Source organism: Homo sapiens, chromosome 4 (genome assembly GCF_000001405.40).
Source record: "Homo sapiens chromosome 4, GRCh38.p14 Primary Assembly".
NCBI classification, from domain to species: Eukaryota; Metazoa; Chordata; class Mammalia; order Primates; family Hominidae; genus Homo; species Homo sapiens.
In genome coordinates, this window is record NC_000004.12 from 139,250,768 (window position 1) to 139,265,204 (window position 14,437).

The 14,437-nt window shown below is 39.5% G+C and overlaps 1 pseudogene; it reads right to left on the bottom strand.

Moving 5' to 3' along the window:
• On the bottom strand, positions 5,890-5,993 carry RNU6-1074P (RNA, U6 small nuclear 1074, pseudogene; annotated as a pseudogene).

Sequence of the window (14,437 nt, forward strand, 5' to 3'; positions counted from 1 at the left end):
ATATTTTTGAGATTTATCCATGTTGATAAATGTAGTTCTTCTATTTCTTCTGTTTTCACTGATATATAGTATTCCCATTCTTTCTTTTTTTCCTACTGATTTTCTGCTTACAAAAATAAAAATATATAAACCTCCAATTTTTGGATTCATTATTGTTATAATCAGTAAGTAGAAAACTAAGTCACTCTGACATGAAGAGTCAAGTTTAAATGCTTGGGAAATAAGGAGGTGGAGGTTGCAGTGAGCCACTGCAGAGTGCCACTGCACTCCAGCCTGCATCACAGAGGGAGACTCCATCTCAAAAGAAAAGAAAAAAAATACCTGGGAAATGATTTTTCAGAAATAGTGAAGCTAAAACAAAAATGAAATTGTAGGTCCTACATTTCAATGACACAATGAAAAATGTTAAGAAGCCATTGAAATGAAATTTTTAGAGTGTCAAACACAAGATTAACAATTATCTTTTGTTTAGAAAAAGACAAGGCTGAATATTATATTTGCATACCAGTTACCACAAAATTTAAGTGAAATCTATATGGTTATTCTATCTCAGCAATAGAAAATTTCTTTTCTAAGCCTATTTATTAAAAATGGCAAAAAACAAATTCTCTGTAACCTCAAAAGTTTTATTTTAGTAGCTTCAACAAGAATAATTTTTTATTACAGGTAATTACATTTGTTATAATGATTGCTATAGAAAGTTTGTTTACTCTAAGTTTAAATTATAAACTATGTGTCAGCACTGTCCTGGGTACAAGAAGAAAAAAAAAATCATAGAAAAAAAATTATAGACTATGTTTGATCTAGGAGGTTGATTTTTCTTAGTAATGTTATAATTAAACCAAAAGTTTAGTGTAAAACATTAAACTTTTTCTTGTTAATTTAGATGTACAATTAATATATAAACCTTATGTAATATATAAGGGTATTCTTTTTAAGTAAGTTGACTTCCTAGAAAAATAAATGACTTAAACACACAAAAATCCATGTAGAATCTGACTTTTCCAGGACATAGTTGTATCAACAAACCATAAATTATTTCTCCATTTTCTATTAATATTAATTTAGGTCTTTTTTTTTTTTTTGAGACGGAGTTTCACTCTTGTTGCCCAGGCTGGAGTGCAATGGCACGATCTCGGCTCACTGCAACCCTGCCTCCCAGGTTCAAGCAGTTCTCCTGCCTCAGCCTCCCGGGTAGCTGGGATTACAGGCACGCGCCACCACGCCCGGCTAACTTTGTATTTTCAGTAGAGACAAGGTTTCTCCATGTTGGTCAGGCTGGTCTCGAACTCCCAACCTCAGGTGATCCGCCTGCCTCGGCCTCCCAAAGTGCTGGGATTACAGGTGTGCGCCACTGTGCCCAGCCTAATTTAGGTCATTTCTAATTTTTTTGCTATTACAATGTTTTTGGTACTGTTCTGGTACTTATCATCTTGAGCACATGTCAGAGTTTCTGTAGGGTACACACCTAAAAATGAAATGTTAGGTCATAGGGTATGAGTATCTTCATCTTTACTAGATATTGTCAAATTCCTTTTCAAATCAGCTCTACCAATAAGCACTATATATACAAATGCATTGCTTGGCATTGTTAGATTTTTGAAATTTTTGTAAAGATGATGGGTATAAAATGTTTACATATTACATATTACATTATTATTAATATTAAATATTGCATATTTTTTGTTTGCATTGCCCTGGTTACCAGTAAAGTTGAATATCTTTTCATATATATGTATTAGCTATTCAGATTCTTCTTCTATGAATTCTTATTCTTTGTGAATTTCTATTTAGAGTGTTTCTCTTTTTCTTGTCCATTGGTAGAAATTGTTCAAATATTCTGAATCTTAGTCCTAGTCCTTGCTAGTTTTATATCTTGCATATATCTTCTACCTATGGCTTATTTTTTCACTTTCATTATGGTGACTTTTGTTGGATAAAAGTTGTTTACCTGTAATCCCAGCACTTTGGGAGGCCAAGGCGAGCAGATCACCTGAGGTTGGGAGTTCGAGACCAGCCTGACCAACATGGAGAAACCCCGTCTCTACTAAAAATACAAAATTAGCTGGGCTTGGTGGTGCGTGCCTATAATCCCAGCTACTAGGGAGGCTGAGGCAGGAGAATTTCTTGAACCTGGGAGGCGGAGGTTGCAGTAAGCAGAGATCACACCATTGCACTCCAGCCTGGGCAACAAGAGCGAAACTCCGTCTCAAAAAAAAAAAAAAATTGTTCATATTAGCATACTCCAGTTTATCAATTGGTTCCTTCTGTTTTGTAATTTTGTGCCTTGAGATATCCCTCCTTATCTGAAGTCACAAAAGTATTTTCTTTAAAAAATTTTGGAATTTTTATTTTCATTTTTTAATTGTTAATTCATTTGCAATTTTTTCTGCTTATATTATGAGGTAAGAGGCTAACTTTATTTTATTTTTCCATATGGGTACCCAGTAGTTTCCACATCACTTACTGAAGAGCCCATCATTTCCTCTCTGGTTTGTAACCAGTCATATACTAATTTACATATATGTATAAGCATTTATCTCAGTTCCATATTCTTTTCTATTAGCTATTTTTTCTCTACCAACTATCTTAATTCTTAATAGCTTTATAAGTCTTTATATTTAGTAGGGTAAGTCACCCCCCTACACACACCCTTTCCTTCAGTTTTATTTGTTTGTTTTTTGTTTTTTTTTCTTTTGAGATGGAGTTTCGCTCTTGTGGCCCAGGCTGGAGTGCAATGGTGTGACCTCAGCTCACTGCAATCTCTGCCTCCCGGGTTCAAGTGATTCTCCTGCCTCAGCCTCTCGGGTAGCTGGCATTACAGGTGCCTGCCACCATGCCCAGCTAATTTTGTATTTTTAGTAGAGACCGGCTTTCTCCATGTTGGTCAGGCTGGTCCTGAACTCCTGACCTCAGGTGATCTGCCCACCTCGGCCTCCCAAAGTGCTGGGATTACAGGCATGAGCCACCATCCCTGGCTTCTTCAGCTTTTAATGGTATATATTTTAGCCCTATATTTATATTAGACTTTAAACTATGGGAACTTGACTAGACGAAAAATTCATTCATGCGAAGAAATTGCAGACAGTCCAGATGAAGGCCAACTGTGTGTGCTGACAAAAATATGAGAACATCTGCCTCCAATTAATACTGAGTTGTGAGGAAACAGGAAATTGAACTGTAGGGAGAAGCAGGAAATATTACTGCAAACAAATAGCCAACAGGTAAAAGGGAGTTAAGATGGTCCTGGGACCCTGCTTCATTACCGTTGTTTTCCTGAATAAGTCTTTTGAAATGAGATATGATTGGATAAGAAAATTCTTTGCAAGAACTTATATAAGCTCTCATATCAACTCTATTCATGTATTTTATTTTAATTATTTTAGAGAGAAAGTTTTATTGCAAGACAGCTGAGCAAGGAGACAGAAGATGGGCTCAAATCTGCCTCCCCTCCTCAGCTCACAAGCTCACAAGCAGTATATTTAAGGACAGTGGTTTTAGGAGCTCTCATATCAACTTTATTACACTGACTTGATTCCTGAGCAGGTTTAAAGGAATAATATAAAGATATTGAGTATTTGTCAACTTTCAGCTTAGGAGAAATTTAGTCACTCTTATATGAAGAGTCAGGTTTGAATACTTGGGAAACAATCTCTTCATGAACAGTGAAGCTAAAATAATGTGAGGTGGCACATGTAATTGCACTGGAATCTGCCTGCAGCTACAGTTCTCATGTAAACTGATTAATGAGATGATGCTTGTTCCAAAGCTCAAAAGGCTTCCCAGAGCGCTGCTGAACCCCAGTCCTACATTTGGCCTCTCTAGTTTGTTAACAAAGATTTGAAGGACAACAGTCTAGATGGAAACCTGAGCAAGATATCAATAAATAGAATGCTCCTTCCCCACCTCCCTGCCAATACCCCCAGCAAAAAAAAAAAAAAGTACAAATGGAATGAACATTCCATTCAGCATAACAATTGGACTTTGTACTGAGAAACAAACAATAGGCATATATATATACACACACACACACACACACACACACACACACACATATATCTATATATATATCTTGCTCTGTCACCCAGGCTGGAGTGCAGTGGTGTGATCCCAGCTCACTGCAACCTCTGCCTACCCAGTTCAAGCAATTCTCCCGCCTCAGCCTCCCCGGTAGCTGGGATCACAGGTACCCACCACCTTGTATTTTTAGTAGAGACGGGGCTTCACCATGTTGGCCAGGCTGGTCTCGAACTCCTGACCTCAGGTAATCCACCCACCTTGGCTTCCCAAAGTGCTAGGATTACAAGAGTGAGCCACTGCACCCGGCCAAGATTTACCTTTTGGAAAATAGTTAGGTTGAACCCTGTGAAATGGCTGTTTTGGTAGGTTAGAAATGGCCAAATACCAGCAGATTCATAGGATTCAGCTCTATAAAACAGGCCACAGTTCCACAAGTCTCACAATTTCATTCAGCAAACATTTATTGAAGGCCCTAATGTAGCTTTTGTTTTCAGGCAACTTTCATTCTAGTGAGGAATTCTAAAATATACACAAATAATTGCAAATCAGAATGAGGAATGCAATAGTAAAGGGACAGGATAGCACAAAGAAAGGTGTCATCGGGTCAGCTCAGTCAGGCAAGGAAAGACTTTACAAAGCAGGTGATGTTTAGTTGAGTAATTAGAAAGGAGTTGGGTTGGTTGAGGGATGGACAGTGTCTTTTTAGATGGAGTGAACTACCTATGTAAGGTCTTTGAGGCACAAACAGGATGGCAAGTTCAAGGAATAATGCTGTTAAATCATTTAGGATGTCTGGATCTATAGGGGAGGGAAGGTAGCTGGAGGCTGCAGGAAAATAAGAGTAAGGACAGAAAATAAGTATGGAGAGAGATTAAACAGGTATGGATTGTGGAATGAACAAGCATAGGCTGCCTTCAGTGTCATACTATAAGAATTTTGACTGTAAAGACATAACAATTTTTTTTTTTGAGACAGAGTTTTGCTCTTGTTGCCCAGGCTAGAGTGCAATGGTGCAACCTCGGCTCGCTGCAACCTCCACCTCCCAGGTTCAAGCATATTACAAGCATGAACCACCATGCCCGGCTAATTTTTGTATTTTTAGTAGAGACAGGGTTTCGCCACGTTGGCCAGGCTGGTCTCAAACTCCTGACCTCAGGTGATCTGTCTGCCTCGGCCTCCCAAAGTGCTGTGATTACAGGTGTGCCCGGCAGGATATAACAAATTAAATGTCTTCAATCAGATTATAGTAGGCTAGTGAAGTTTTAGCTGGGAGTTAACACGATCAACTTACCATTTTAGAAGGTAAGTAATTCTGTGAACTTAACAGTAGGGAGATTCGCTTAGAGTTTACAGGTATGAAGAAGTGAACTAAGGTAACAATCTGGAGATGCAGAGAATGGGAAGGAGTGAGAGATGTGGTAGAAGTAAAATTGAAAATGCTCAGCATACTTCGCTGGTCCTTTAGTTCTTTTGAAAAATGTGACATATTTTCTTTATTGAAGGTTCTATATGACTAAAATATCTGCATTGTGACTTTATAACAACTGTTATTCTGGACATCTTAATAACAATAAAATCACTGCATTGTGAATTTAATTAATTACCATCTAATCTTAAAATTAATTTTAAAACTTGGTTTAATTTTTCATTCTATTTGTTTTCTATTTGAGACATTATAGATATAACCACAATCTTCATAGAATCTTCTACTGCAAAGGAACATTCCTTTTCCTAGTTCTGAATGAAAGCATTTCTGATATGTGAAGAATTCTCATTCCTAAAGGGGAAGTAGTAATGCCCACAATCTTCTCATCGTCATGCCACTTGATAAAGGGAAAAGCTAATTTAATTCTTTTTTAATTTGTTTTTAAAAACATAGAACACTTCACGAATTTGCATGTCATCCTCCTGCAGGGACCATGCTAATCTTTGTATCATTACAATTTTAGTATATGTGCTGCCGAAGTGAGCTGCTAATATACCCTTAATCCATTTTTTCCCCTGGAAATCACTATCCATAAGAAATAATGTCAGAAAATGAGTTTTTTATTAGTTTAATTATTAAATTGAGCAATGATTATTTGAAATTATATATCCATGTGTGAAATTCAAATAATATTTAACTTTCATAATTCTTCCAACTTGTTCACTAAAATCTTACTCTAAAAGCTAAATAAAATAATTTTTTTCTAGAAATTCTTTTAGTGATTCTATTCACTGGAGAAAAACATTATACAATATGTTTTATTATACTAGACAGTGTTGTTTCTAGTCAATGAATGCTATCTGACAGGACAAATAGTTGGCACCAAAACCACTAACACATTCAGAACGTAATCTCCCCTGAATCCAGCTTGAACTCTCAAAAACTGGCTGTGGAGTATACTGTACTTTGTAATAGAAAATTCACACTTTAAAAAATGGACAAAAATAGTTATCTCAGCTCCGTTGTTAAAGACTGCTCCATATATTTTTTCACAATTAAGGTAATATTTATTTATTTATCTATTTATTTGAGACAGGATCTTGCTCTGTTGCCCAGGCCAGAGTAAAGTGGTGTGATCGACTCTCTGTAGACTTGAATCCTCAGGCTCAAGTGATCCTCCTGACTCAGCCTCCTGAGTAGCTGGGACTACAGGTGTGTGCCACCACACTCAGCAATTTTTTTTTTTTTGTAAAGATAGGATCTTTCTTTGTTGCCCAAGCTGGTCTTGAACTCCTGGCCTCAAGCAATCCTCCCACCTCAGCCTTCCAAAGCCACTTGTATTACAGGCATTAGCCACCATGCCCAGCCATTAATACATTAATATTTAAATTTTATGGTCATGTCAGTGTTTGGAAAATGTGTTAGATTTTCTAATTTAGGCTTCCTTTATATCTCTTGTCTACATCAAAGAGAAGTAACTGAATTATTTGATTCTGTGCCTGTTTTTTAAATCAATTAATTAATTTTTTATTTTTTTATTTTTTTGAGATGGAGTCTCACTCTGTTGCCTGGGCTGCCGTGCAGTGGCACAATCCCAGCTCACTGCAACCTCCGCCACCCGAGTTCAAGCAGTTCTCCTGTCTCAGCCTCCCGAGTAGCTGGGATTAGAGGCGTGCACCACCACACTGGGCTAATTTTTGAATTTTTAGTAGAGACGGGGTTTCACCATGTTGGCCAGGCTGGTCTGGAACTCCTGACCTCAAGTGATCCATCTGCCTTGGCCTCTCAAAATGCTGGGATTACAGGCGTGAGCCACCGCACCCAGGCTTCTGTGTCAATTTTTATCTTTTGCAATCATTTCATATTCTATACCTCACACTCTATCTCACTTTGACTTCTTCAATATATAGTACTTTTTTTATATTAAGATCAGTCAGGCCAGGTGCTGTGGCTCATGCCTCTAATCCCAGCACTCTGGGAGGCTGAGGCAAGAGAATCACTTAAGTCCAGGAGGCAGAAGTTGCAGTGAGCCAAGATCATGCCACTGCACTCTAATCTGGCCGACAGAGCCAGACTCCATCTCAAAAAAAAAAAATAAATAAATAAGATCAGTCAATGGTATAAGAGTAAAAATGCTTTTTATGGAATACTGTTGTTAAACCTTCATTATTCTGGTTGTTAAACTCAAAAAAGATCAATAAAACATAGGCTGCTTTTGGATTTGATAGCTGCTGTTTCAAAGCGTCATTTTATTTTATCTTATTTTATTTTGAGACAGGGTCTTGCTCTATTGCCCAGGCTGGAGTGCATTGGTGCTACCATAGGTCACTGCAGCCTCCAACTTCTGGGTTCAAGTGATTCTCCCACCTCAGCCCCCTGAGTAGCTGGAACTACAGGCGCATGCCATCATGCCTAGCTAATTTTTAAATTTTTTGTAGAGATGAGGTCTTGCTACATTGCCCAGGCTAGTCTTGAACTCCTGGCCTTGAGTGATCCTCCTGCCTCAGCATTAAAATAATACTGAATTTTAAAATGAAAAAAAAAATTCTTCTATATGCAGTCACATTTCAGCATTTAGCAGCTCTGAAAAGAATTTAGAAAAGGTACCAATTGGCCGGCCACAAGGCTAAGCCAGACAAAATCTGTTTCTGTTAGGCACAGCTAGTTCTTTCTTTATTCCCATTGAGGAATGTGAAAAGCAATGATACTAAATCTAAAAAAAAAAAAAAAAAAAAAGTGCGTCATATTCAAAATTGTTTTATTTCCTAAGCATTTTTTTCTTTTTCTTTTCTTTCTTTCTTTCTTTTTTTTTTTTTTTTTGAGACAGAATTTCTCTTTTGTCAGCCAGGCTGGAATGCTGAAATGCGATGGCATGATCTGGGCTCACTGCAACCTCCACCTCTCAGGTTCAAGTGATTCTCCTGCCTCAGCCTCCTGAGTAGCTGGGATTATAGGTGCCCACCACCACGCCCAGCTAATTTTTGTATTTTTAGTAAAGACAGGGTTTCACCATGTTGGCCAGGCTGGTCTCAAACTCTTGACCTCAGGTGATCCACCTGCCTCGGCCTCCCAAAGTGCTGGGATTACAGGCATGAGCCACTGAGCCTGCCCTATTTCCTAAGTATTTTAACTACATATTGCTACTTAACAAACTACCCCAACTTCATGGCTTAGAACACAACCATCTTATTTGCTCACAATTTAGCGGGTCATCAATTTGGTCTGTGTTCAGCTGGGTAGTTCTTTTCTGGTCTCCCCTGGGGTCATTCATATAACTGCAGTCATGTGGCATCGTGGCTGGAGCTCGATGGTCTGGGATGGCCTCACTTACACATCTGGGTTTAGTGTTAGCTGTAGATGGGGCACCTCTCTCCATATGATCTCTCTTTCTCATGAAGGGTAGCTCAGGCTTCTTCACATGGTAGTATCAGGATTTCAAAAGGGTGAGAGCTCAGAAAGTCACTTCCATAGCATTCTGTTGGTCAAAACAAAGTACAAGGCCAGCCCAAATTCAAGGGAATGAAGAAACAGTCTCTATCTTTTGATGGGAAGAGATGTAAAGCCACATTTCTTTTTTATTTTAAAAAAATTTTTTTAAGTAAAAAAAAATTCTAAGTAGAGACAGGGTCTTGCTATATTGCTCAGCTTGGTCTCAAGATCCTGGGCTCAAGTGATCCTCCTGCCTTGGCCTCCCAAAGTGCTGTAACTACAGGTGTCAGCCACTATGCCTGACCTAAAGTCACAATTAACAGGAGTGTATACAAAAAGGTGGGAAGAATTAGTGACTATTTTTTTTCAATCTACTATGTTAACAATGGCTCAAAATTCAGAAACAATACATAAAAAGATTGATCAATTTGATTACACTGAAATAAAAATATCTTATACTACAAACATACCATAAGTAAAATAAAAAGATAAATCACAAACTTGGAAGAATATTTGTAATTTATATCACAGACTAAAGTTTAATGTCCCTAGCATAGAAAGAGCTTCTAAAAAACAGAAGAAGGAAGGACTGACACACTACAGGAAAATGCACTGAGATGTAAACAGACAGATTGCAGAAAAAGAAATGCATAGAGTCCTTACCATTAAAAAAAATGTTTTTATGGTCCCTAATCATAAAAAAAAAGTCCAGGTGTGGTAGCTCATGCCTGTAATCCCAGCACTTTGGGAGGCTGAGGCGGGAGGATCTCTTGAGGCCAGCAGTTCGAGACCAGCCTAGGGAAAATAGTCACACCCTGTAGCTACAAAAAAAAAAGTATGTTAAAAAATTTTTTTTGGCCGGGCGCGGTGGCTCACACCTGTAATCCCAGCACTTTGGGAGGCTGAGGCAGGTGGATCACAAGGTCAGGAGATTGAGACCATTCTGGGTAACACAGTGAAACTCAGTCTCTACTAAAAATACAAAAAATTAGCTGACTGGCTGGGCGCGGTGGCTCACGCCTGTAATCCCAGCACTTTGGGGGCCGAGGCGGGCGGATCACGAGGTCAGGAGATCCAGACCATCCTGGCTAACATGGTGAAACCCCGTCTCTACTAAAAATACAAAAAAATTAGCCGGGCGTGGTGGCGGGCGCCTGTAGTCCCAGCTACTCGGGAGGCTGAGGCAGGGGAATGGCGTGAACCCAGGAAGCGGAGCTTGCAGTGAGCCGAGATTGAGCCACTGCACTCCAGCCTGGGAGAGAGAGCAAGACTCCGTTTCAAAAAAAAAAAAAAAAAAATTAGCCGAGTATGGTGGCAGGCGCCTGTAGTCTCAGCTACTCAGGAGGCTGAGGCAGGAGAATCCCTTGAACCTGGGGGGAGGAGGTTTCAGTGAATCAAGATCACGCCACTGCACTCCAGCCTGGGTGACAGAGCGAGACTCCATCTTAAAAAAAAAAAAAAAAAGACAATTTTTTTTAATATCCAACCTCACTTGTGTGTGTGTGTGTGTGTGTGTGTGTGTGTGTGTGAGACAAGGACTTACTCTGTCACTCAGGCTGGAGTGCAGTGGTGTAATCATGACTCACTGAAGCCTTGACCTCCCAGGCTTAAGCAATCCTCCCACCTCAGCCTCCTGAGTAGCTGGGACTACAGGCGCACACCATCATACCCTGCTAATGTTTTGTATTTTTTGTAGAGACAGGGTTTCACCATGTTGCCCAGACTGGTCTCCAACTCCTGGGCTCAAGCGATTTGCAACCTCAGCCTCCCAGAGTTCTGGGATTACAGGAGTGAGCCACGGGGTCCAGCCCTACCTCACTATTTTTTTTTTTTTTTTTTTTTTTGAGACGGAGTCTCGCTCTGTAGCCTAGGCTGGAGTGCAGTGGCGCGATCTCGGCTTACTGCAAGCTCTGCCCCCTGGGATCACGCCATTCTCCTGCCTCAGCCTCCCCAGTAACTGGGATTACAGGCGCCCGCCACCACGCCCAGCTAATTTTTTGTATTTTTTAGTAGAAATGGGATTTCACCATGTTAGCCAGGATGGTGTCGATCTCCTGACCTCGTGATCCGCCCGCCTCAGCCTCCCAAAGTGCTGCGATTACAGGCATGAGCCACCGCGCCCGGCCCCGACCTCCCTCTTAATAAGAGAAATGCAAATTTTAACTGCACTGAGGTATTTTTCGTTTGTCACATGAGCAAAAACCCAAATGTTAGGGCACTCACATACATTGCTGTTACTGCGTGTAAAACAGGAAACAGGCATTCACATACATTGTTGTTTTGGGAATGTAAAACGGTAGTTCTCCTATGAAAGGACTTTGGTAATAGCAGCAAAATTACAAATGTATTTGACCTAGTAATCCCTCTTTCAGAAATCTATCCCAATGATACAGTGGCAAAAATATATATGCATGAAGCTATACATTGCAGCACTATTTGTAATAGCAAATACTAGAAACAAGTCAAATGTTCATCAGTAGGAGACTGGTTGAATAAACAATCCATGGTACCCACACAACGTAGTTCTATGCAACCATGAAAAGCAATGAGAAATATTATTATCTATAATTTAGAGTAATCTCCAGGCATATACTTGAATGCAAAAAGCAAGGTAGAAAAATGTATGCGTATAGTAAATTACTGTTTATTTAAGAAAAATAATAATATATGTAATATATATAGTTTATATATATTATATATATAAAGGATGGGAAGAATTTGTGAGTAAATTCTTATATATATAAGAAATTCTTAAAATATATATATTCTTATATATATATATATAAGCTCTCTGTCTATATATATAGCTAAGAAAGAAGGATTTTGGCCTATCGTTCTTTCCATTTTTTCTTTGTATAAGCTATATATATGCTATATATAACATATATACTATATATGCTATATGGTATATATAAATACATATATCTAGTTTATATTAAAAAATGGAAAGAACGATAAGCCAAAATGATTCTGTATTGGAAAGTGGAAGGAACAGATGGAAAGAATATAGAGAAAGGGTATCACTATTTAACAACTCCTAATAAAATAATGAATCAATGGCTTCTAACATAATGAAGAGAAAAGCACCAAATATTATGCACCTGCTGATGGATGTATGAACATGAACTACAAATAATTCCTGCCAAAGCCAGGCACAGTGGCTCACCCCTGTAATCCCAGCACTTTGAGAGGCTGAGGTGGGAGGATCACTTGAGACCAGGAATTCAAGACCAGCCTGGGCAACATAGAGAGACCTTGTCTCTATAAAAAAATTTTAAAAATTAGCATGTGCTTGTAGTCCCAGCCACTTGGGAGGCTGAGGTTGGAGGATTGCTTGAGCCCAGGAGTTGGAGGCTGCAGCGAGCTATGATAGTGCCACTGCACTCTGGCCTGGGCAACAGAACAAGATCTTGTCCCTAAAATAAATAAATAAATAGGATTTTGATCAAATCTCTAAATCTAAATACCAATTTATAGGCAGTATGGGGGAGAGGAACATGTTAAAAGAAGACAAACACATGTGGTTGCAATAAGCGAAGTCCAGAGTGAAAAATTCTACAGATCAAATTAGTCACTTTATTGAAACCATAAATTGCAAAGAAAAGTAGAAGAGAGATGGAGGAGCAACCTGTAGAAAAAGAGACTTAAAGATGTATTTACCATTTGTGGACTTTTTTTTTTTTTTGAGATGGAGTCTCACTCTGTTGCCCAGGCTGGAGTGCAATGGCGTGATTTCGGCTCACTGCAACTTCCGCCTCCCAGGTTCAAGCAATTCTCCGGCCTCAGCCTCCCAAGTAGCTGGGATTACAGGCACCCGCCATCACGTCTGGCTAATTTTTGTATTTTTGTAGAGATGGGGTTTCTCCATGTTGGCCAGGCTGGTCTTGAACTCCTGACCTCAGGTGATCTGCCTGCCTCGGCTTCCTAAAGTATTGAGATTACAGGCGTGAGCCACAATGCCCGGCCACCTATTTGTGGACTTTAATTGGATTCTGACTTAAGAAACAAACTGAAGGGAGAGGGAAATCCTTTATGAAGCAGTTGAGGAAAATTTGATCATTGACTAGATAATTAACAATAGTAAACAATTATTATTATTTTACAGACATATATCCAGTATCATAGATTTGACTTTATAACCTTACTCACATGTCTCAAATTAGTGTTAGCTGTAGGTGGGCCCTCAGTCGTGGTGGTCAAAGGTAATGGATAGGAATATGAATACAAGATTTGCCACGAGTTGATAATTGGTAAATCTGGGTGTAGTGCACATGAGGATTCATTATACTATTCTCACTACTTGTGTTTGAAATTTTATACAATAAAACATTAGAATAAAAAAGTATGAAGTTTTTTTAAGATGAGGAAACTCTTTTTTTATTTTTTTTTTATTTTTATTTTTTGAGACGGAGTCTCGCTCTGTCGCCAGGCTGGAGTGCAGTGGCACAATCTCGGCTCACTTCAATCTCTGCCTCCTGGGTTCAAGCGATTCCCCTGCCTCAGCCTCCTGGGTAGCTGGGACTACAGGTGCGCACCACCACGCCTGGTTAATTTTTTGTATTTTACTAGAGACGGGGTTTCACCATGTTGGCCAGGATGGTCTCGATCTCCTGATCTTAGGTGATCCGCCCACCTTTGCCTCCCAAAATGCTGGGATTACAGGCGTGAGCCACCTTGCCTGGCCTGTGTTTTTTTTTTTTTTTTTTTGAAACACTCCTAGTAGACTCTGTAAAATACCTAGAATTGTGGCGATTCATCCTATGATTATGAGAAGGATAAAGCCAAAACATTCTATTTTTATTGACACAGGGTCTTGCTCTGTCGCCTAGGCTGGAGTGCAGTGGCATGAACATGACTCACTGCAGCCTCGACTTCCTGGGCTCAAGTGATCCTCCTGCCTCAGCTTCCCATGTAGCTGGGACCACAGGCAGTTGTCACCACACTTGGCTAATTTTTTAATTTTTTTGTAGAGACCAGGCTGCCCAGGCTGGTCTCAAACTCTTGGGTTCAAGTGATCCTCCTGCCTTGGCCTCTCAAAGTGCCGGGAATACAGGTGTGAGCCACTGTGCCTTGCCCAAAACATTCTTGGTAGAGCAGGACAACAGATACAACCAAGGTCTTGATGACTGAGCCACGAAATAAGCCAACCCTGGATATCTAGTTATATAATAACAATCTATCTAGTTATGTAATAATGATCTTTGTCATTTAATCCCTTTTGAGTATGTTTCTGTTATTTTTAGTAGAAAATGGAGGAAAATGCATTTGTATGTGTGGGCAAGGTCTCATTGCCCTCTAGCTGAAGAATGATAACAACTCCAGAATCCTATTCTTAGAGCCTGCTTCGTAGGATCACATGCAGTACCAATGATCTAAAGTGATATTCCTTAGAAACAGGGATTCTTTGGCCAGTCTTTTATGAGAAGAGTATTCCCCGGAGAATGGAGGGAGGAAAGCAGAAAAGGGCAGGGGGAAGAGCTAAGCAGGGAAGTCATCTCGGCTGGAGACCAGCTTCAATCTGCTCCTTGGGGTGGGCTGGAGCATGAACTATTCAATTGTACT